The 24,238-nt window shown below is 36.3% G+C and overlaps 1 annotated feature.

Annotated features, from left to right (window-relative positions):
* Positions 22,498–23,034: an enhancer, noted in NCBI's record as "NANOG hESC enhancer chr5:160535280-160535816 (GRCh37/hg19 assembly coordinates)". NCBI's record gives its function as "activates a minimal SCP1, AML or CMV promoter by ChIP-STARR-seq in primed H9 embryonic stem cells {active_cell/tissue: H9 hESC(primed)}" and the evidence as "EXISTENCE:reporter gene assay evidence [ECO:0000049][PMID:30033119]".

Genomic DNA, 24,238 nt, shown 5'->3' with positions numbered 1-24,238 from the left:
TTGATGTGTAAAATCTATATAATTTTTAGATTCAGATGGATGTTGAAACTGAACAGAAAGAAGGATCCAAGCTATGATTTAGGCATCATCATGTCTAGGCAAGCCCAATTTTTCAATGCTATCAGCAAGGGCTACAGATCAGAAAATACCAAGGGCAAAATGAAAAACTAGAAAAAGGCACAGAAAATGAATATCCCTGAGTTGGCAAAGATTTCCACCATAATACTATCAAAATCTTACTTTGCTGGGTTCTTATAGTGGTAGAAGTGATTTTGTTGGTGTGTTGGGAGCTAATTGAAATATGTAAGCCACAAAAAGGAAACCATTTAATTCATGCATACATTAAACAAATAGCAGCAGAACACAAGGTTAGGGCCAGGCAATGCAACGTCAGGAGATACACCATAAAATGTAATAGACAAGGTCCCTGCTTTCAGAGAGTCTGCAATACAGTGAGAATATAGACAACAAATAAGAAAATAGTAAATAAGGTAATTATATATTGTGATTCAAAATTTAGAAGATGGTTACAGGTTTTTGTCATAGAGAATAAACAAAAAAAAAGATCTGCTTAGGTGTCGCAGTCATTTATGATTCAGCGCTGGATTCTGCAGTGCCTGCCTCCTGGATTTTTCTTTAACATCATAAGAAAAATAAACTACTGCTATTCAAGTTGATCTTTCATCACATATTATCTCTGTGGAAGGGGCATCCTAGGATCAGTAATAAAGTTATTTGCGCAAGCCCTTTAATGCAAAGAAGATATGAAAATCCAGACTTCTTTTTTTATTGGTATAACAGCAGTAGGTTGGCCTTTGCAATTAGACTTTGTAATCTGCCTAACCTTCTCTGTCATTTTATGGAAGTGAATTCCTTATAAAAGTGAATTCCTCAGTTGTCTACATTCTAAATAGAATTCTCCTAATCTTATGCATTATCCTGCTAATATTAGGAAGGATAATTCCTTGCAGCAAAAACTACCCAACATGTTGAATATGCCAATGGGCGTGTGTCTTGATACCTGGTTTTGAAGATTTTATAAACTTTTTGCAGGGACATCGACCCATAAGGTGCCAGAATAGAATGACTTTTCAAGAGGCAGCCTGCATAACTTTAAGATTGTGGTAATTCAAAGAAAAATCACCCCCTGCATATAAAGTAAAGGGAGTTTGGTAGAGGATTAGCAGAAAGAGGATAATGAGAACCAGGAGGAAGAAGAAGAGAAAGAGAAGTTCAGGAAGATGGAGTGTAAGAAAACAGAGGGAGGAAATGAGAAGAAATAGTCATAATTATTCATTTATCTGGGCCTCATCACTGCACAATCATGACTAAAGCCAGCCCTGGCCCCTACTGCAAGCCTCAGCCATCACCACTGTGGCTTGAGCCCCCGTCCCTCCCCAGCCGTGCTCTTCTCTAGACCCAGGGTTACCACTGAAGATTCCAACAGCTCCCACAGTCACCAAGTATCATTTCTTCACCAATTTTGCAAGCAAAGACCATGTAGTTGCTAATGTCATGGACTCCAGCTGCCTGAGCCATCAAACCGTCACACTTTATCAGGCCCAGAGTTGGCATCCTGTGCACCACTAGATCCAGTGCCACAGCATGCTTCCAAACATTTCATCCATAGTCTCTGCACACTGTACCTCAAGTGAAGATTTTTCCTTACCAAGGCCAATCCTTGAAGTCTGGAAATGGTAACTGCTTCTTCAAATGTCCATACATCGACACAAGAAACAATGAACATGAAAAATTATGGACACCTCCAAAGTAATACAATAAACTTCTATTTACCAACCTCAAAGTGATGGAGAGCCATGAATTACCTGACAAAAAAATCAAAATAATTTTTCTAAAGAAGCTGAGTGAGCTACAAGAGACACAGAAAAACAATTTAACAGTATCATAAAATAATACAAAACAAAATGAGAAGTTCAACAAGGGAATATAAATTATAAATAAGAACTAGGACCTGGCATGGTGGCTCACACCCAAAGTAATCCGAGCACTTTGGAAGGCCAAGGCGGGCAGATCACGAGGTCAGGGGTTCGAGACCAACCTGACCAACATGGTGAAACCCTGTCTCTACTAAAAATGCAAAAATTAGCCAGGCATGGTGTTGCATGCCTGTAATCCCAGCTACTCAGGAGGCTGAGGCAGGAGAATTGCTTGAACCCAGGAGGTAGAAGTTGCAGTGAGCTGAGATCGTGCCACCGCACTCCAGCCAGGGTGACAGAGCGAGACTCTGTCTCAAAAAAAAAAAAAAAAGAAAAAGAAAAAGAAAAAGAAAAAAATTATAAATAAGAACTAAACATAATATCTGGAACTAAAGCATAAAATGAATGAAATTTAAAAATACAACAGAGCTTCAACAGACGATTCTATTAAGCAGAGGAAAAAATCAGCAAACTTGAAGATAGATCATTTGAAACTATCTAGTCAAAGAATAAAGTAATAATAATAAGAGTAAAGAATGCATATAATATTTACAGGACACTTTCAAACAAACCATTTTCCACATTATGAGTTCCAGAAAAAAAAAGGGGAAAAGGACCTGATTTAAAGAAATGATAACAGAACTCTTCCCAAATCTGGGAAGGAAAATAGACATCCAGACTCAAATATACTGAACATAAGGAGGTCTATACCAAGACACATTGTGAATAAGTTGTCAAAAGACAACAGCAAAGAGAATTGTGAAAGCAGCAGGAGAAAAATCACTCATTACATTCATGTAATGCTTATAAAACTATTAGTGTATTTCTTGACAGAAACTTTGCTGGTCAGGAGAGAACAGGATGATATATTCAAAGTACTAAAAGAAAAAAAAAATGTCAACCAAGAATACTACACACTGCACAGCTATCATTTTAAAATGAAAGCGAGATCAAATATTTCCAAGACAAATAAAAACCAAGGGAATTTGTCACCACTAGATCTGCCTTATGAGAAATGTTTAAGAGTGTTTTTCAAATAGAGTCAAAACACACTAAGCAGTACCATTAAAGAATTTGTAAGTATAAATCCCACAAGCAAAGGCAGATATATAGTCAAATACAGAACAGTTTAACATTGTGATGGTAATGTGCAGTTTACCCATAACTCTAATACAAAAGATTTTTTAAACCCTAAAATACTAAGAATAACAATAACTGCAAAAGTTTGGCAACAGATTCATAATAAGAAAGAAGTAAACTCAGACTTCAAGAATATAAAGTGTGTGTTGTGGGGAGGGTGGTAAAATGTAGTTTTTGTATGCCCCTGAACTTAAGTTGTTATCAAATTAAAGCAGATAAATATAATTATAGGAAGATTTATGTAAGCCTCATAGTAACAAAAAAGGAAAAACCTATTGTAGAAGCAGAGAGGAAAATGGTGATTTCCAGGGGACGACGGAAGGAGGAAATGAAATGTATTAGTCTGTTCTCACACTGCTATAAAGAACTACTTGAGACTGGGTAATTTATTAGGAAAAAGGTTCATTGACTCACAGTTCCATAGGCTGTACAGGAAGCATGGCTGGGATGCCTCAAGAAACTTACAATCATGGTGAAAGCAAAGGGGAAGCAAGCACATCATACCATGGCAGAGCAGGAGAGAGCAAAGGGGGAAGTGCTACCCACTGTAAAACAACCAAATCTTGTGATATCTCACTCACTAAGATGAGAACAGAAAGGGGAATATCTGCCCCCATGATCCAATCACCTTCCAACAGCTCCCTCCCCTAAACTGAAAATTATAATTCAACATGAGATTTGGGTGGGAACACAGAGCCAAACCATACCATAAGGTGCTGTTGGCCAAAGGACATAAAGTTTCAGATAAAGGTTCTAGAGATCTAAAATACAGCATGGTGATGATAGTTAACAATATTTTATTATATACATGAAATTTGCTAACAGCATAGCTATTAAGCTATTTTACCACACACACACACACACACACACACACACACACACACAGAATATATATACCACATCTATATATACGTGATATGTATATATTCTACATCTATATATACGTGTGTGTATATATATACATGTTAGCTAGAATGTGATGATCATTTCACATTATATGTATATCAAAACATCAACTTATGCACCTTAAATATACACAATTTTATATCAATGATATCTTAATAAAACTGTTTTAAAAAGTAGCATGTGAAACAAAGGTATGTCATCCTATAGAATAAAATAATCTTTGTGCAGGCTGGTTAGACAATGCTGCAATATAACTTTGAAAGGACATTCAGTAATTCTTTTGCCTTGTTTATATGTTTTGCATATTTTTTCTTTGTTTTCCCCCATGCCCTAACAATTTAATAACAGTCTTTCTATAGAATCACTAGCCATGAAAAGTACCAAACTTCTATACATCCTCAATTAGAAACTTAAGATAAATATATTTGGACAATAGGCATCTTTCCTTTGTTTTGTTAGGATTAAAAAATAATTCCTCATAGACCTGAGGATAAAGTTCACAAAATCACATAATCTATGATATCACTATCACACAAATGCAATGTTTAATGATAATAAAATTTATAATTGTGAATGCTAGTAAGAATGTAATGAAGCTAGCATTCTTATCCATTGCTTAAAGCAATGTAAATATTTTTTATTCATTTATTTTTCAACCTTCATTTTAGTTTCAGGGGTTACGTGTACATGTTCATTACATGGATAAATTTTGTGTTGCTGAAGTTTGGAGTGCAAAAGATTTGGTCACTCAGGTAGTGAGCATAGTACTTGGTATATAATTTTTCAAGCTTCCTCCACTTCCCACCCTTCTCCCTTTAGTATTTATCAGTGTCTACTGTTCCCATCTTTACGTTTGTGTATACTCAATATTTAGCTCTTACTTATAAGTGAGAACACAAGGTATTTGGTTTTCTGTTCCGGTGTCAAATCAGGTAGGATAATGGCCTACTACCTCCTGAATGACTTTTGGTTAAACAGTAAAATTAAGGCAGAAATCAAAAAATGATTTGAAATAAATGAAAATACCAAAATATTGAATGAAACAAATGAAGATCATGGCATACCAAAATTTCAGGGATGCAGCTAAAAGTGTTAAGGAGAAAGTTAATAGTGCTAAGTGCCTACATAAAGAAGTTAGAAAGCTCTTAAATTCACAATGTAACATCACACGTAGAAGAACACGTAGAAGATAAGAACAAACTAACCCCAAAACTATAAAAAAAGAAATAACCAAAATCAGAGGATAACTGAATAAAATTGAGACCCCAAAATGCATACAAAGTGTCAACAAAACCAAAAGCTGTTTTTTAAAGGATAAACAAGATTGCTAGTTAGATCATTAGTTAAATTAATAAAGAATAAAAGAGAGAAGATCCAAATAAGCAAAATCAGAAAAACAAAGGTGATGCTACAACCAATCCTAGAGAAATACAAAATATCCTCACTTACTATTATGAACCCCTCTATGCATGTAAGCTAGAAAATCTATAGGAAATGGATAAAATCCTGGAAATATACAACCTCTCAAGACTGAATCAGGAAGAAATCAAAACTCTAAATAGACCAATATTGAGTTCTGAAATTGAATCAGTAATGAAAATCCTACCAATCAAAGAAAGTCCTGGGCCATATGGATTCACAGCCAAATTCTACCAAACATACTAAGAACTAAGAATGGGTACCAGTCCTACTGACATTATTCTAAAAAATCAAGGAGAGACTCCTTCCTGACTCATTCTACAAAGCCAGCATCACTCTTACACTAGAATATGGCAAATATACAACAGAAAAAGAAAGTGAACAGTGAAGGGTTGCCTAATATTCTTGAAGAAAACACAGGCTAAAGCAATGCAATGATGGAGAAAGACCCACCTGGCAGGGCATGTAGAATGGATTGAACATACCATCTGTTTAACTTAAAACATTATTTTCACAAAAAAGAAAACCAAGTGGTTACTCCTATTCTAAACCATAGCAATTGATGAAATAGAACATGCTTCTAATCTCAGGCCTGTCCACAATTTCAGGCCCTGCAGAAGCAGGTTCTAGGCACAGCCAGATGTAGCTGCACCTCAAGCTGTTGTTGTTATTAAGCTTGCTGGATTTAGTGCTGCTGTTCTAAGAGGCAATTCTTTGATGTGACCACGTGAGTTAGAAAGAGATTCATTTCTTGCCATCAGAGCAGAAGTTATTCAGCCAGGATTCATCTTCCTTCATTTCCCCACTTAATATTAACATAGTTTGGCTTTAGGGAATTTTCTGAGACATTTAAAATTATGTGCAAAAATTTGTGAATGTATATTTTTCCTAGCAGAGCTTTTATCAGATTCTCAATGATGTATACAGTCCTCCCAAAATTTAAGCATTCTGGGTCTAGGGATAGGGGCTGTATCTATTTTGGCCAGCATATAGAGTTCTCTGTGCCATTATCCATCTATCTGAAGGTTGGGGAGGTAAATAGGAGCTGCTTTGAAGACCTTCACTGGTACTAAAGGATAAACCAAAGATGATATCAAAGAGTCTGATTATCTCTCGACTCTTCACAAATTTTTCAGAATTTCCTTGATTTACCACAGGTGGCTATGTACATGGTATGTATATTTGAACAATGAAATTCTGTCCAAACTCAAGATATCAACTTTTCCCTATATTAATTTCTATTGCTGCCAATAAGAAATTCCCAAAACCTACTTGCTTAAAACAATCCATATGTATTATCTTACAGTTCTGGAGATCAGAATTCCAAAATCAGTCTTACCAGACTGATCGTTGTTAGAGTTAGATCCTTCTGGAGGCTCCAGGTAAAAACTCATTTTCTTGCCCTTTACAGTTTCTGGAGACCACCTGAATCCCTTATCTCTACCCATCCCTCTACCTCACTGTCAGCAGAGGAGCATCTTCAGATTTCTCTTTCTTCTGACATCATGTCACCTTCTCTTTGACTGTAATACTACTGCTTCCTCTTTATAAGGACTCTTGTGATTACATTGGGCCAACCCAGATAATCCAGGATAATCCCTCCTTTTAAAAATCTTTAACTTAATCACATCTGTAAAATCCCTTTTGCCATGTAAGTTCACATCATCACAGGTTCCATGGATTAAGATATCAACATCTTAGGGGGTTCATTATTTAGCCTACTACACACTCAAACTGTATATAAAATTATTTGGCTTAAGACTAAAGTATTATCTTCATCCACATGATCTTGGATAAATAGCATATTGTGCCACTGTTAGTCTTGGGATTCAATTAACTTTTATGATAAGCTCTAAAGTGACTCTGAGGAAATGGGACTCTGGACAGTTAAGATGTTATAAAAAGAATGCTTCTATTTTCATCTAATTATGAAGACCATTCTTCCATATTTTGTAAAGTTACCAAATAATGTAAAAACATAAAGTTTAACATAACTTTCTCATCCAGAGATAGTCACCTTTCATATTCTAGTAAATTTTCTTGCAGTCTTTTTTTGATGAATGGGTATGTGAATATACAAATATTCATTTCTATACACATATAAACATATACTTTTTCTCTTACAGATTTGAAATCATAGGATAAATTGTGAATCTTCCTTTATTTTCCCACTTAAGATTATAGCATAAGCATTTCCCATGGCACCAAATATTTACTGAAAGCAAAGCTTGAATATAATATAATTAATACTCTTCGAGTTACTCCAATGTTCAGCCATTTCATATTTTACATGCTCTTTTTTTAGTGCTAACAGAACTTTATAGAGGTATAATTAAGTACAGTAAATGTAAAAATCTTAATTTATTCACCCAGTAAATGCTCAGACCAAGATGTAGAATATTTTCATCATGCTAAAAAGTTCCCTTTTGCCTCTGTCCAGTCAATCCCCCTACCAAAGGAAAGAAGTATTCTTTTTTTTTTTTTTGAGATGGAGTCTCGCTCTGTCGCCTGGCTGAAGTGCAGTGGCGCAATCTGGGCTCACTGCAACTTCCACCTCCTGGGTTCAAGAGATTCTCCTGCCTCAGCCTCCCAAGTAGCTAGGTCTACAGGTGTGCACCACCATGCCTAGCTAATTTTTGTATTTTTGGTAGAGACGGGGTTTCACCATGTTGGTCAGGATGGTCTCGATCTCTTGACCTCGTGATCCGCCTGCCTCAGCCTCCCAAAGTGCTGGGATTACAGATGTGAGCCACCGCACCCTGCCAAAAGAAGTAGTCTTATTTATATTACTGTCAATTAGTTTTGCATGTTCTTGACATTCTTCATTTACATATAAATTATTTAATACTGAATGTAAAATGTGTCCTTTTTTTGGTCTGGCTCTTTTATTCAATATAATGATTTGAAATTCATCCATTTTGTTCTATGAATCATTGTTTGTTTGTTTGTTTTTTAGCTGAAAAATATACTATTTTGTAACTATACCACAATTTTGTTGTTGAACAATATTGATGAACTTGTAGACATTTGGATTCCTTCTCCTTTAGGACTTTTATGAATAAAGCACCTGTGAATATTCTGATAAAAGTTACATTGTGGACACATCCATTTATTTCTCTTGGATGCCTACCTAGAAATAGAATTGCTAGGATTGAGTTGTTACAGTTTATTAAAAACTACCAAATGGGTTTCTAAGTAGTTGATGATTTTATACTCCGAACAGTACATAAGAGTTCCATTGCTCCACATCCTCACCAATATTTGGTCTTTTCGTTTTAACTATTCTAATAGATATAGTAGTATTTTAATGTGCTTTAAACATGCATTTCCTTAATACTATTGATTTTCATGTGCATAGTGATTATTCAAATATCTTTTTTTGTTGGGTGATTTATGTGTTTACTAATGATGTGTAGAAGTTCCTTATGATTCTAGATACAAACTCTTTGTCAGATACATGTATTACAAATATTTCTTCCTAGTCTTTTTACTTTATTAATGTTGTCTTTTGATGATTAGAAGTTTTAAAATTCGATGCAGTCCAATTTGTAATTTTTTTCTTTTATTATTGATGTTGTTTGTATTCTCTTTTAGAAATCTTTGCCTACCTCAAGTTCATAAATATATTCTCCTAAGTGTTCTTCTAGAAAATGTTATGCCTCTAGCTTTCACTTTTAGTCTATGATCTATCTCACAAGAAATATAATTTATTTTTTATTACTATCTAGTTGTTCCAGCATCATATATTGGAAACACATTCCTTTGGCCATTTAACTATATCAGTGCCTTTGTCAAAAGTTAATTGAGCATATTTTAAAATATTACAATTATCTCCAGTTTTAGTCTTCTATAAATTATTTATTCATAAGCACTTTATGGTATCATTTGATTACTAAAATAAATGACCAAAATAAAATTGTTAAATTGAAATATAAATGTTTCTAATGTTATTAGTAGATATTGTCAAATTTCTTTAGGATGGCTTCTCCAGCTAATACTCAAGCCAGAAGTGGGTGAGAGTATTCATTTACCTTACCAGTAGCAATAATACTAGCTTTAAAACATAACTAATATTACAGGCAACAGAGCATATCACTGTGTTAACTAATTTTCTTTGATTGCTAATGAAGCCTTTTACTAACAAAACTCAGAACCAGAATACTTGGATTTGTGACTCTGCTACTTACCAAACTTGTAATATTATTGGGGAAATTAGTTATCTGTACTTTTATTTTTACATCTTAAGAATTAGAACAATACTAGGATCCATCTTAAAAATACTATGAGGCAGTAGAAATGTAATAATTAAATAATTCAAGGATGGTACTTACAACAATGCTTGGCATTTACTGAGCGTTCACCATGTATTAACCATCATTAATATTATTACATAATCACTAGGCTTTTAAATTTCTTTTGGAATGTTTCTGTCTCCTGGAAAAGTAATATATTTTGGCAACTGAGAAATATTGGAGAGATTTTATATCAAAATGGAGAGTGATCCAAGCACCCATAAAAAGAAAGCAAATTAAAGGGCGAAATGAAATAAAAATCAGACTTCAGCTCTTTCAAAAATTTTCCCAGAAGTGTTCTTAGAAATACCTGTAAATTTCATTTGAAGCAATGCTTCCTAACTTAAAATTCTAAGCAAAATTGTCAGTGTCATGCACACACACGCATGCATTTTTCTGGGCAGAAGGATCAGCTATTATGGTTTCCTCTTGGGAAGCCCTTAGAGACAGAACATCAGCTCTGGGTGGTCATTTAAAGTTTCTCTACTTTGCAGTTTACACAAAGGTAAATTAAGACCCATAGGGAGGAAGTAACTGGCTGAAGTTTATATAACTATGTAAGGGCAGACCCTGGCATTAAAACTCAGAATTTAACTTCCTATTGAGTATAATTTTGTTACATCAGATAAATGTGTCTCCCCATGCCATAACTTCAGCTTCCTCCAGTGCCATGTTTCCTATCATCTGACACATATAAGTGATTATCATTAACACTATATAAAGATAGAAGAGTTTTAGGATGAAGCAAAATGTGGTCTCTGAGAGAAAGAAAAACATGGGCATTGAAAATGATAAAAACATATAGTTTATTGCTTTGATAAATAATTATTAGCTACCTGAAACCAGAATAAAAAACAGTATTTCAATAAGAGAGAACAACATGTGTAAAGGACATGAGAAGGACAATCATGTTCCTTTTGGAGATCTGAAGGAAGTTCAGTGTGAGTATAGTACGGGAACAGACAGTGGGAGAGATGAACCTAGAGAGGCAGACTGCATCCAGACAATTCCAGGCTTTTGAAGACAGACTGAAGATGTAGCTCAGTTACTGGTGAGAAGACACTGAAGGGTTTGAAACAGGGAAGTGACATGATCACATTTGCACCCTTCAAATGGACAGCTTAAAGATTGGAAATATGAGGCACTGTGGGCACCCCTGTAATCTTTCAAGTTGGAGATGAGTGGTGGCCCCATGAAAGAGAAGTAGACAGATTGCAGGGATGTTTTAGAGTCAGAATGAAAATGATTGGACATTAAATTGGATGTGGGGAAATAAGTGAAAGAGAACAATCGGTGATTCCCTGGTTTCTGTCAAAGGATAAAGGAGGTGCTAGCTGGCAGGTGGGAGTTATATTTAGATAAATGGTAAGAAAGGATATAAAGACATGTTGATATTTATTGTGTAGACTTTGAGCACTCCTGAAACACAGCAATAATCAGAACTCCAAGCTCTGACTTAAAGATATTCCTGGGTAAAAAGAATGAAAGTGATAGGGATTAGCTCTAGATATCTCAGGGTTTTTTGCACAGCCTCTGGAGGGCTGTTGCAGGGTAATATTGCTCAACTGGTGACATTTCTTGATGAATGTCTACTCTGGAAGCTCTCTATAGACAACCAATATCCTCCAGCTCAGACAATCTATCCTTAGATCCTACGCATACTCAGTGATAGCATGAATGACAACATTATTCATTCATTTATTCAACATGCATTTTTTGTGTCTCCTGTAGTCAAGGCCTTGCCCAGAATCTAGACATACAGCTAATCACAGAGCTGAGGTACTTGGGTTTTAATCTATGTGTAGCTTTTGGAGCTGTTTAAACATATCTAGGCTGCAGGAATTGGGATGATAAAGCAATGGTTTGTATCTATGCACCAATTATTAGCGGAATAATCATATAGGCTAGTTTGCCTAGGAGGTCTTTGCATCTCTGCTTTTCTCTTTTTGAAGTGTAGAGATGTTAAAGTCAATAAAACTATCCATGGAATGGATAACAAGTATTCAAAGACTTAATTCTAATTAAAACAAAGTTAAGCAAAGAACTTGTATCTTTAGATTGATAAAATATTCCGTACTGGCTAATTTACGTGTGCCCTGTAAATCAAAGTACAATCTTTCTTGCCTGAGAAAAGCAATCCATCAAACTTATTCAAAGGTTATGTCATTTTCCTTTCAGGCATGCAACAGTTGAGTAGCTTGAAAATGTGAATAACAAATGCCTTTCACATAACAGTTGGATTATGTCAAGAATCTAGCTCAATAAATACTCACTGAGCATCTTCTCTGTGCAAACCAATGTATGTGTGAGAGCTATAGAAAAGAGTGACTTTTTCTATATCCCAGGATCTTGTTACCACATTAGCAAAAGCAAAACTATCTAAAATAAGGAAGAGTATAATACACTGCAGTGGGTAGATGGAAAAGATCTTTATTTTATAAGTGGAAGGTGACATCTGCTATACACTCTAGGAGAAAGCAAACTGGAATGAAATAGCTTTAGCCTATCTCTCTTATTATTCATTTATTTCCATAGGAGAAGAAAGACCTTATTCAACTTGTGAGCTCAGAGAAATCTAGGTATATAGGGTAGAAAAGGCTGTGTTTAAAAGGCAATGACAGACCAGAATAAATTTTCTGGTTTTCTTATTGTACTACAGTTATGTAAGATATCAGTATTACTGGAAACAGAATGAAGGGTATCCAGGGCCTTACTCCTCTTTTCTCGTCATCTTGTGAACCTATAATTAGTTCAAAATAAACTGTTTTTAAAAAGTCAATGGTAGTCTCTATATCTCTCTAAGCTATGCTAATAGAGTAGCCAGTAGGTACATGTGGGCTATTGAGCATTTGAGGTGTCTTGTAAGGGTAAAATATATACCAGATTTAGTATGACAAAAGAAAGAATAAAAAATATATCAATAATAATTTTTGTATTGAATGCATGCTGAAATTATAATGTTTTGGGTATATTGTGTTAAATAAAACATATTATTAAAATTAATTTTGTCCTTTGAAATTTTTTTATGTGGCCACTAGAAAATTTAAAATTAGAGCAGCAGCTCGTATTCTATTTCTTTTGAACAGAGCTGTCCTAAGTCATTTTTTTAAATGAGTGTGAAGGAAGCTACAGTTTTGCAATTAGTTGGCTACATAAGCATCTTCTCAGTAGACAACTTCTCCCACTTAGGCTGTAGATTTAGGAAGGGATGGAGGAATAGGGAAGCCCTAAGGTGTAAGCCATGTTTAACAATCCAGGAAGATGTGACATTTATGAGACTTTCAGCCTTGTTTATTAATTAGTCCTTTTGGCTTATTGTGTCTATTCCAATTTCCAGAACTGGGACAAGAGGATAAGGGTGATTAGGCTCTCTTAAAACTCTAGCATGAGGGGATGGATGAAGTAGCAAGAGAATATAGAGGAGAAAGATAACTTTTAATCTAGGGTATATAAAAAAAGACTAATAAAATGACATTTATGTTAAGCTGTGCATATAGAAATATTCTAGGAAAAAAATATTAAAGTTATGAAACCTGAAAATGTAGGAGTGGTGTGCAAGACAGCTAATCACCCTATGGCTGGATATCAGGATATTTGCCTACAGAGTGCCTAATGTCCTCAAGGTTCCTTGGCACGATTATAAAAAAAATCTGAATGCAGCCTATGAGTTTGGGGGTTATTCTGTAGACAATGAGGTGGCATAAAAATAATTTTGAATAATGGCATAGGATGATTGGGACTCTGGTTTGAAATAACTGCTAGTAGTATAAAGAAAATAGTTACATACAGAGAAATTGGAGGCAGAAAGACCAAAGTACTCAAATTACCAGAAGTACTATCCGTAAAACCTGATATAAGTGGTTAGGACAGCCAAATTTGTATACAGAATCCTTCTGTTTGAATTCGGTAAATAATTGTTGAGAATATTCTCAAACTCAATGGTTACCTGTCCCCATCAAGCATGTACTCACTGGGGACAATAGGCATTGAACTAATATTTAAAAGTGTGTCACTGAGCATTATGAAAGTCAAGTGCACAGTACTTACAGCACAGTTAACAGAGTCCTAACCTAACCTATCCTTGAAACTCAATAAATGGTGTTTCAGCTAAGCCCTGAAAAATAATTTATCAGAATGGACTCAGTGAATCAGGGAATGGGGAAGTGAATGTCAGGCTATGGAAACAACAGGTGCAAAAAAACATGATGTGAAAAACAGCAAAAAAAAAGCATGTTGCTTTCAAAGAACTTGGAGTCCAGCATGACTAACATATAAGAGAAAGCATGGGTGAAGATGAAATCCAGCACAGCCTATGTCATGAAAGAGGCTGTAATCCTTACATCATGGTAGAGACATGACAGAGACTGCATTCTGTATTCATAAAGAAGTGAGAAATCACTGAAGGATTTTATGCAGGAGTAGAAAGTGATTCAATATAAATTAAATATTGGAATGGGATGGTAAGTGGAGTCCACCCAAACCACATGGCTAAGAGGACAGGAGCAGAGGTGTGCTAGCGTGTATTAAAAATGCTGTGCCCAGTCAGGGAGTGGTGGCTCATGCCTGTAATCCCAGCACATTGGGAGGTTAAGGTGGGAGGATAACCTGGGAGTTTGAGGCCAGCCTGGCCAACATGACGAAACCCCGTCTCTACTAAAAATACAAAAATTAGCTGGGTATGATGGCTGGTGCCTGTAATCCCAGCTATTCAGGAAGCTGAGGCAGGAGAATTGCTTGAAGCCAGGAGGCAGAGATTGCAATGAGCGGAGATCACGCCACTGCACTGCAGCCTGGGTGACAACAGTGAAACTCGTTCTCAAACAAACAAACAAAAAAACACTGCCCAGATTTTTTTTTAATTGTTAGGCAGGCTGTTAAAGATATCCATTTGCTGAATAAATGAATGAATAATGAGTTGGAAGGGGGAAGAGAAGGGATAGAGATCTTTTAGGAGGCTGTTATCTACCATAAGAGGAAGATGGTGGTTACTTGAATTTTGGAAGTACCAGTGGGGATGGAAAAAAGCAAACGAATAAACAAAAGAGAGTGGAACTATTTAGGAAAGAACTGGAGGGGACTTGATGATTGATTAAATAAAAGGAGGTGATGGAGAAGGAAGAGCCAAGGACAGTATTCATGTTGCTGACTTGGGAGAAGATACCTTCCATACAGACAAAGAATAAGAAAAAGTGTAGAGGGGATTTAAAAACACCATGCATAGTATATCATCAACCACTTTAATCCTGCTGGATTCGATTTTTCAGCCTGTCTTTCTTTCTTTCTTTATTTCTTTCTCTTTCAGTCTGTCTTGTCTTTTTTTTTTCTTTCTTTCCTTCTTTCTTTTCTTTCTTTCTTTCTTTCTCTTTTGGCCTTTCTTTTTCTTTCTTTCCTTCTTTCTTTTCTTTCTTTCTCTTTCTTTCTTTCTTTCCTTCCTTCCTTTCTTCCTTCCTTCGTTCGTTCCTTCCTTCCTCCTTCCTTCCCTCTCTCCCTCCTTCCCTCCTTCCTTCCTTCCATTTCCCTTCCTTCTTTTCCCTCCCTCCCTTCCTTCCTCCCTCTTTCCCTTATTTCCTTCCTTCCTTCCTTCTTTCTTTCCTTCCTTCTTTCCCTCCTTCCCTCCTTCCCTCCTTCCTTCCTTCCTCTTTCTCTCTTTCTTTCATTTCTTTCTTTTTGGAAAATGGGGTCTTGTTATCTTGCCAAGGCTGGAGTGCAGTGGCTATTCACTATTAACAGACGTGATCGTAGTGCACTGCAGCCTTGAATTCTTGGCCTCAAGAAATCCTCCTGGCTGCTGGGCATGGTGGCTTACGCCTATAATCCTAGCACTTTGGGAGGCTGAGGTGGGTGGATCACGTGAGGCCAGGAGTTTGAGACCAGCCTGCCCAACATAGTGAAACCCTGTCTCTACTAAAAACACAAAAATTAGCCAGGTGTGGTGGTGGGCACCTGTAGTCCCAGCTATTCAGGATGCTGGGGCAGGAGAATTGTTTGAACTGGGGAGGTGGAGTTTGCAGTGAGCCGAGATCACACCACTGCACTTCAGCCTGGGCGAAAGAGTGAGACTCAGTCTCAAAAAGAAAGAAAGAAAGTAATCCTCCTGCCTCAGCCTCCTGAGTAGATGGAATTACAGGCACACGTCATCACTCCCAGTTCTTGTGTCAGGAATTTTGAGATGACTAAGTCCAGCCCCATCATCTTATACATGAGGAATATATTTAAGTGATATTGGTGAGGTCTCATGGCTAATTAGTGATGAAACTGGAACTAAAGCCAGACTTCTTGAATACTATATACCTTAGTTCTTTCTTCTATACTCTTGCTTCTTAAAGTGTGGCCAGTAGGCCCAAATGCATTAGCATCAATGGGGATCTTACCGGAAATGCAGATCTAAGGCCCTCCCTCAGATCTCCTAAGTCTGCATCTGCATTTCAACACAATATCCAGGTGACTTGTACACATTAGGATTTAGTCTTACTGTGCCACATCACACATCCCTCTTTTGTATGTAGAAGTCCAAAGCTAAATCTACAAGAAATCATTCTTTATAGTCACAAGACAAATACATTTATTTTCCTTTTTCTTTATATAACCCAGCACCATAAATCTCAATTTTGTGTTCAACAAAAGGCCCATTCCTGGTCATGCCAGGGAGCTGCCTTTACTCTTGAAAAAGAAAGGTTAAAAATCTTAGCCATTTTTTATGTGACAGAAGATGTAATTAAATATAGCTATGATCTGAAAATACAATCAATCTGCTATTTATAATAGTTTAAATTATTCATATGGATAAAAACACAGGATAAAGATAACACAGTTGATTTCTTAGATGTTGATGGTTTTGTAACTCACCCTTGACACCAATTGAATTAATTCCAGACAGACTTCTTGTTCCCAATTATTTGTTGGAGGAAAGAACATGTTCTGTACTTTTCAAGGCTGTGGGCAATCCCCAAATTCTCAGTTCTGCACAACAAGCCTTCTGGATGTTTAAGTGCTTTTCACAGAAACTGGTTTGATTTGCATTTAGATCAAAAGTTGCAGATTTTCAGATGACTTTTTGGTTTGTTGTTTCTCCTAGGCAGGCAGGTGGAACAATCTTTTGTTATCTGTTCCTATATCCGGGCCCCCTGACAAAATGTTTCTTCCTTTTCTTTCTTATAATTGTCCTTTTTAAAAATTGAATTCAGACGTTTTTTTTCTAGTACTTCAGTCTCTTACTTGCTCAGAGGTCATATTTGCATCACAAAGGAAGCCTCTTAAAAGCATAGGATAGTCTTAACTGTCTTAGTTCTAGAAACTGGCACAATGTTATTTTGACTCTGCAAAGATTCTTGAAAACAAATGACTCAAAAAACCTGAACCAAAAAGGCTTAACCAATAAAGAGGGTTTATTAACTCATGGAACTTAAAAGTCCAGAAGATGTTCTGATTTTGGTGAAGACTTAATTCAGTGGTTCAAACCCACCAAGGCCCAGGTGTCTTCTCTTGGCAGCATAATGGGTTTAGTTGTTCCAGGCTCCATATCTTCATATCACACCATCAAGGGAAGAAAGAAAATCTTCTACTTGCTACCATGGAAGAAAGAGGAAAATCCTATTTCCAGGAGGCTGAATAGCTGCTTCTTAAAGGGCACTGTTAGCATCAGGGGTGGTAGTGAAGCCCATCCATGCCACCTAATTATGTGTGCCAAAGAGAATATGTGTATTAAAGAAAAAACTTTGAGTTTTGCCCAGAAGAAGAGCAGCAAACTAAAGATTTCCATTTGGTGAATAAATGAATGAACAAGAAATGTATATTAGCTTTAGAGACCTTAAAACCCAACCAAGTCTTAAACTTCAGTCTAGAAAATAGTAAACATTATTTTTTTGGATAATTTCCAAGAGGAAAGAGTAGTATCAAAAGCTTCTTGTCATTCAAAGAAAAGGTATTGACATATCCTTAAACCAATTTATCTCCTCTTGGTCTCTGTTTCCCTCTACATGAAGATCTTTTTTCTTCAAGTAGATAGTTAACCCTTTTTCTTCTGTTTTGATCACAATGTGACTGAATCCACATAATGTGACTGAAATTTTGCTGTTATTCTGAGATTTGAAGTTTGTTCAAACTCTCAGCTCCAATCTAACCTTAAATGTCATTTGGGCTGGGGGGCAGTGGCTCATGCCTGTAATTCCTGCACTTTGGGAGGCTGAGGCGGTGGATTACTTAAGGTCAGGAGTTGGAGACCAGCCTGGCAAACATGGCGAAACCCTGTCTCTACTAAAAATACAAAAATTAGCTGGGTGTGATGGCCGGCACCTGTAATCCCAGCTACTCCGGAGGCTGAGGCAGGAGAATTGCTTGAACCCAGGGAGGTGAGGTTGCAGTGAGCCGAGATCATGCCATTGTACTCCAGCCTGGGCGACAGAGAGAGACTCCATCTCAAAAAATAAAAAATTTAAAAAATGTCATTTGTTAGTTTCTCTTCTTCTCCTTCAAAGGTCAAAGGGTAAATCTCAAAAGAGCACTCTGCTTTGTGCTTCATTTGCCTCAGACTCTGTGCCATGGCTGAGCTTAGCATCCAGCTAGAATTCATCATCGGCTCCCATTCTGGTTGCGCATCCCTTTGGTCTGGTGGTGCATCAATTCCACAGAAATGAAAGGCACCATCTGTCAGACATCAATAATAGTGGTTTGTCAGCTTAGATCTGTGGTCCTTCCTCTCTACTACCATCTTTTTTTAAGTCAGAGACTGCTTAAAACATGCTGTCATTTACGGTGTTCAAAACAGCTTCTTGTTTAGTTGGAAAATACATCTTTCTTACCATTCTCATGAACTTGTGTATCACAACTTGTAGATGAAGCTGAGTCTTCTTAAATTATAGAGCAGAACTCAGGCTTGTTTTTTTCTTAAATTTTTTTCCTTCTAATTAGCTGCTGTTTCAGTGACAGATGTCAGTCAACCACAGTAAATATATTCTCAGCATGGATATAAATGACTTAAATATCCATATATGAAGTTTCATGCTCTGCTTCATTCTTGGACCCATCTCAGTGAGCTAACTATGAAAATTCAATTTTAAAAATTACTATGGCATAACTAAGACTGTGTTTGACATGACAGCACCAACACATTTTAGATATTTTCAGAGTTGTGGATTTGGTCATTTATTCCAAACCACATTCAATATTATGACAGGGAAAAGAAGACACAATCTACTAAGACAACCACAGTCGTATTTTCTTCACTCCTGGTTTAGCCTCCATATATTGAAATATAATTTTCTATGCTGTAAAAGAAAATTGTTAGCTTTACAAATATACTACAGAGTATTTTGTGGTCCTAAAAGCTTATCTTTGGAGATGAATTTGGGTTTGAATTTTACTTCTGCCACACACATGCTGTGAAGATACAGGCAAGTTGCCTAGTCTCTCTAACCTCAGTTTGCCTCAGAATTAAGTGAGCTAATGCAGGAAGAGCACTTGGTACAAACCTGAGATGTAGTAGGCACTCAATAAATGCTATTATTAACCGATAGGTTCTCAGACATTTATCTCAATCCCTTCCTAGAGTCAGTGTAGTTCATCTGTATGAGTAGGGGTAAGAAGGCGTAGAAATACTTGGAAAAATATTTGGTTATTGTAAAAGTTTTGAGAAAAGCACCTTTAGAGGAAAAAGTTCAAATTAATAACTTTTAAAATAGATCCACCTGAAAAATATCTGAAGTTATATATCACATCTATACCACTAGCCTAAACCAGCCATACGTATTTGTAAATAAAGACTGACTAGAACACAGCCACATCCATTCCATTCATTTACATTGTTATCCTTGATTACTTTCATGCTACAAAGGTAGAGTTGAGTAATTGCAATAGAGGCCACCTGACTTGCAAAGCCTAATACAGTTACAATCTGGACAGAAAAAGTATGTCAACTTCTGGGTTAGAGTATCACTTAAGATCATTATAAAGGGGTCTAGAAACATTCAATAGATTGTTGCAAATTACCTTCAAGATCAATTTCAACAATCTTTCGATACAGTAAAAATTCCACAATGTGATTTGTGGGAGATACAACCTAAGAGACAAAATAACATTTTGTTTAGATGTATAGCCATACATTATGACATTCAGAGTTCTCTGAAAGCAGAGCTGGAGACAAGCACTTATTTGAAGGTAGTTTATTTGGGAAGAGATATCAGGAAACAGCAGTGGGGAATTAGAAATAGGGTATGAGGAAAAGGATGTGTTATTGAGCTGATCACTGCTGTGAGCAACTAAGGCTCAATCCTGTAAAGACTCCCTGAAGAGCTGTGTAAAGTGCAACTAGAATGGCCACTGAGGGCTGGAAGAAGGAAGCATTTATCCACCAGCTTTGATCTTTCATTGGGTAAGCCTCCCTTGGGCTGTTAACTAGGTTAACACTTCTAGGTTTGTACATGCACCAGTGCCAACTGGATTTCCCTACATATCCCTCAACTCAGCCACATAAAGGTCCAGACTCAGAAACTGAGAGACCCAATACAGCGGTGGCGAGGTGAGTGAGGTGCTATCAGGCCACTACAACATGAAGCTAGTTACTAGCAGTGGCTGGAGTAGAAGGCAGGTTGAGAGGACCTGAGGCCGGGCACAGGAGGTGTCCAGTATAGTATCTGATGTTTACTGAGTGCTCTGGATGTGTAAATTCCTGGGTGGGAAATGCTTTTTCTTCCTTATCCAATTAACTCTGATATCAACATAATGAGCTGAACAAGTTTCTTAAACCACATTTGATGGTTTTTAACCACTTGTGGTCTTTAACCACATTTGACAGTTAAAGAAATCAGGGGAATTTAAGTTAGAGATACTAAATAACCATAATAGGAGTTGATATTTATTTCTGGAAATTTTATAATATGCTAGCTATATTTGGTAATTGCTTTACTTCAATTGACTCATTAATCCCCACAATAAACATTCCAGGTAGGTAAAATTGTTAACTGTATTATATGGATGAGTAGCCTGAGGGTTAGGAGAGGTTAAGCAACTTGACTAAAGATATATAGCTAGTAAATGGCAGAACATAGTTGAGACCCAGACTCAGGTCTCACTGGCCCCACAGTTCATGCACTTAAACATTTTGTGATATGCTTTTTAAAATTCTTAGAATTTCCTCTTGGCCTAATTAAGAATCTATGATTGAATACATTTTCCAATAGAATTTTTGAGAGCATTTGAATAATTCCTATACCATGTCTAAGCTGTACACTCAATCTAGTCCAGTCAATAAAAAGATTGAAAACCCCAACATGTTTATCATTTAATTGGTCATTTTAATCACTTATTATTGATTAGGTGACTAGAGAATAGTGTACATCTGAACTAAATTATAATAAATAAATACGCTGGAGTCTTCAACAACTCCTTGTGGGCTCTCAGGCTTTCATTACTTAGCTTCTAAGTGGTAGAAAGATGATTCATGTCTGTAAATAGTATTTAAAAACACAGTAATACATTGTAAAATGATTTCCATGGCATAGCACACTACATCTTCACATCTAATGACAGGCGAAAGGCAGTGTTGCAAGGTGAAAAATACATTACATCTCACAGCAGCCTGAGGCAATGAGAATAGTTCTGAAACTAGAGTCAGAAGTCATGAGTTCACAAGGCAAGTCCTTTAACCCCTCAAAGAAAGTTTATTGATTTTCAAAATGAGGTACGGTATACCAGCCAGACCACTGTAAAGGTTCAGATGAGATGATATACGTGAGAACACTCATTAAACTTTAAATACGATATAAATGTAACGGTTACCTTTGGTATCTTTGAATACAATCAGCAGATTTTTGCTCTCAAAACGAATAATCCTATATTATGTTAAGTGAAATAAGCCAGGCACCGAAAGACAAATATCACATGTTCTCACTCATATGTGGGAGCTAAAAAAGTTCACTAGAATAGAATGACAGACATCAGAGGCAGGGAAGAGTGTGCAGGTGGGGAGTAGATAGTGGTTGGTTAATGAATACAAACATACAGTGAGATAGAAGGAATAAGTTCTAATGTTTTGTAGCAGAGTAGGGTGATTTTTGCCAAAAATCCATACTCCTACTTTGATGTTGGCACTTCAAAGTTTACGGCAGAATTTTTTTTATGTATTGTGTATTTCAGAATAGTTAGAAGAGAGGACTTGAAATGTTCTGAATATATAAAAATGACAAATACTCAAGGCGACGGACACCTCAGATACCCTGATTTGATCATTACACACTCGATGCACGTAACAAAATATCACATGTACCCCATAAATATGTACAAATATTTGTATTAATTTTAAAAATAATGCAACTACAGTATACATTTTAGAGCTGAAAAGCATTGAAGTTTGAAAACTGCCAGGAAATCTGTCAAGATTCTGGATAATTGTGGTTACTACTTACAACCACAGTTATAAGTAGTGGGATACTAGTCAATAAACTTGGTGCTTGAGAATATTAGCGTTTTTTTCTTTTTCTTTTTTATTGTGGTAAAAACAAAACACAAAATCTACCATCTTAACCATTTTTTAGTGTACAGTTCAGTATAATACAAGTACATTCATGCTGTTGTAAATAGATGTCCAAAACACTTTCATCTTGCAAATCTGTATCTCTATACCCGTTAAACAGCAACTTCTTTCCCCTCCCTTTCCAGTCCCTGGTAACCACAATTTTTATTAATTGCTGACCATTACTCAATGCTTACCATGTGTCAGACATTTAGCTAAGCACTTCCTATTCTTTCTCATCTTATTGAGAAATCCACCTTCTACTAAATACTCAAAAATGTCATAAAATAATTTACTTACTCAGTTTTTTTTTCTGTACTTACAAAGTCATACAAAGTCGTAGGGATGATATTTTTCCTTCTATTTCTAGGTAAAATGTCCTGCTAAATGATTCTAGAATTTGAATCTTCTTCATTTGGATTTAGATTCATCAATGGCTGGTGTAAGTAGGAAAGTAAGTCAAAGCATATCTAGATAATTGGAATGCCCCGATCCTGCAAGAGAACCAATTGACAGGTGGAGTTGAAGTTCATTTACTTAAAAAAAGAAAACTCCTCTGGGAAGCTTAGACTTTCTTTGTCCCCGCCTTTGAAGTTTCAAAGGAAAAGTTTTTCCCTGCCAAAGCTCTAGGACAAATAAGAAATGACCTACCTGTTCTCCATCTCAGAGCACAAAAGCCTGCAGGGAAGTGGCATTGGTTAAAATGAACCCTATGTGATGTTGTTGCAGCAAAGTACATGCTGACTCTGACATTTCTCCTGATTCTTTTGTCAAGCTCTCCTTGTATATTCCTCAGTCTGTGATTTCATCCCTATTTTTTTTTTTTAATAGGGCCTTTCATAAGGTTCCTGGCCTACTTCATTCTGTATCCTAGTAGGTTTGGAATAGAGGCCTTGGGTGATACGTTCCTCCTGTTCAATCACAGGACTCAGTGCTGGTATGTTTCTAATGTCTTTACACAGACACACACAAGCACACAATAAGACGCAACTAGTGGCATGTAGATAGGCTCTGACTCATAGATGTGTTTTATTATTGTTATTTTGCTAAGAGCACTTAATATGAGATCTACCCTCTTAGCAAATTTTTAAGTGTACAATCCAGTATTGTTAACTATAGAGGCAATTTTTTATAGCAGATCTCCAGGAATTATTTATTTTGTTAACAGAAACCTTAGACTCATGATTAGCAACTCCCCATTTCCCTCCTCCCAGATGCTGGCAAACGAAATTCTACTCTCTGATTCAATGAGTTTAACTATTTTAGATACCTCCCATAAGTGCAATCAGGCAGTATGTATTCTTCTGTTGACTGCCTTGTTTCATTTAGCATGATGTCCTCAAGGTTCATTCATATTGTCACATATTCCTGGATTTCCTTCTTTTAGAACTATCTTATGATCCAGCAGTCCAGCTCCTGGGTATTTATTCCAAAGAACTGACATCAGGATCTCAAAGAGATGTTAGCACTTCAAAGTTTATGTCAGCACTATTCATGATAGTCAAGTGTGAAAACAACCTAAATAACCAACAACAGATGAATAAGTTTTTAAAATGGGACACACACAATGGAATATTAGTCAGCTTTAAAATAGATGTGTATGTGTTTTTTTTAATTGACAGAGTTTTGAGTTTTATTTTTTGTTTTTACTTTGAACTAACCTTACATTATTTAAAAAATTGAATATTTCACACACATAAAAATGAGATTTCTTCCTTCTCTTGGAAGATTGTTAGTTTGACACTACTAGTCTACATTCTAATATTGCATAGCCATGAGAGCTGGGAAAATGCTGCTGTTTTAGACTAGGTTGATGCTCTTTAATACACCACCATCCCCTCTGGTCCATTTTCTGTTACATTTCCTGGCTGGCTTCAGTAATATGAAAGCTTGTATCTTTTAGTTAATAATCCTGATTTTCACCCCCAGAAGGTATGTGTCCCTTTGTCTGAGACATCAGTCCCCCAAAAGAAAGCAAATAATATCTGATTGTCCCTTGCCAGTGGTGAAAGCTTTTTTTACATTACCTAGGCTGACTT

This window comes from Homo sapiens, chromosome 5 (assembly GCF_000001405.40).
Source record: "Homo sapiens chromosome 5, GRCh38.p14 Primary Assembly".
NCBI lineage: Eukaryota > Metazoa > Chordata > Mammalia > Primates > Hominidae > Homo > Homo sapiens.
Note: the sequence above shows the minus strand (reverse complement) of the source record. Positions and strands in the feature narration are given on the sequence as shown.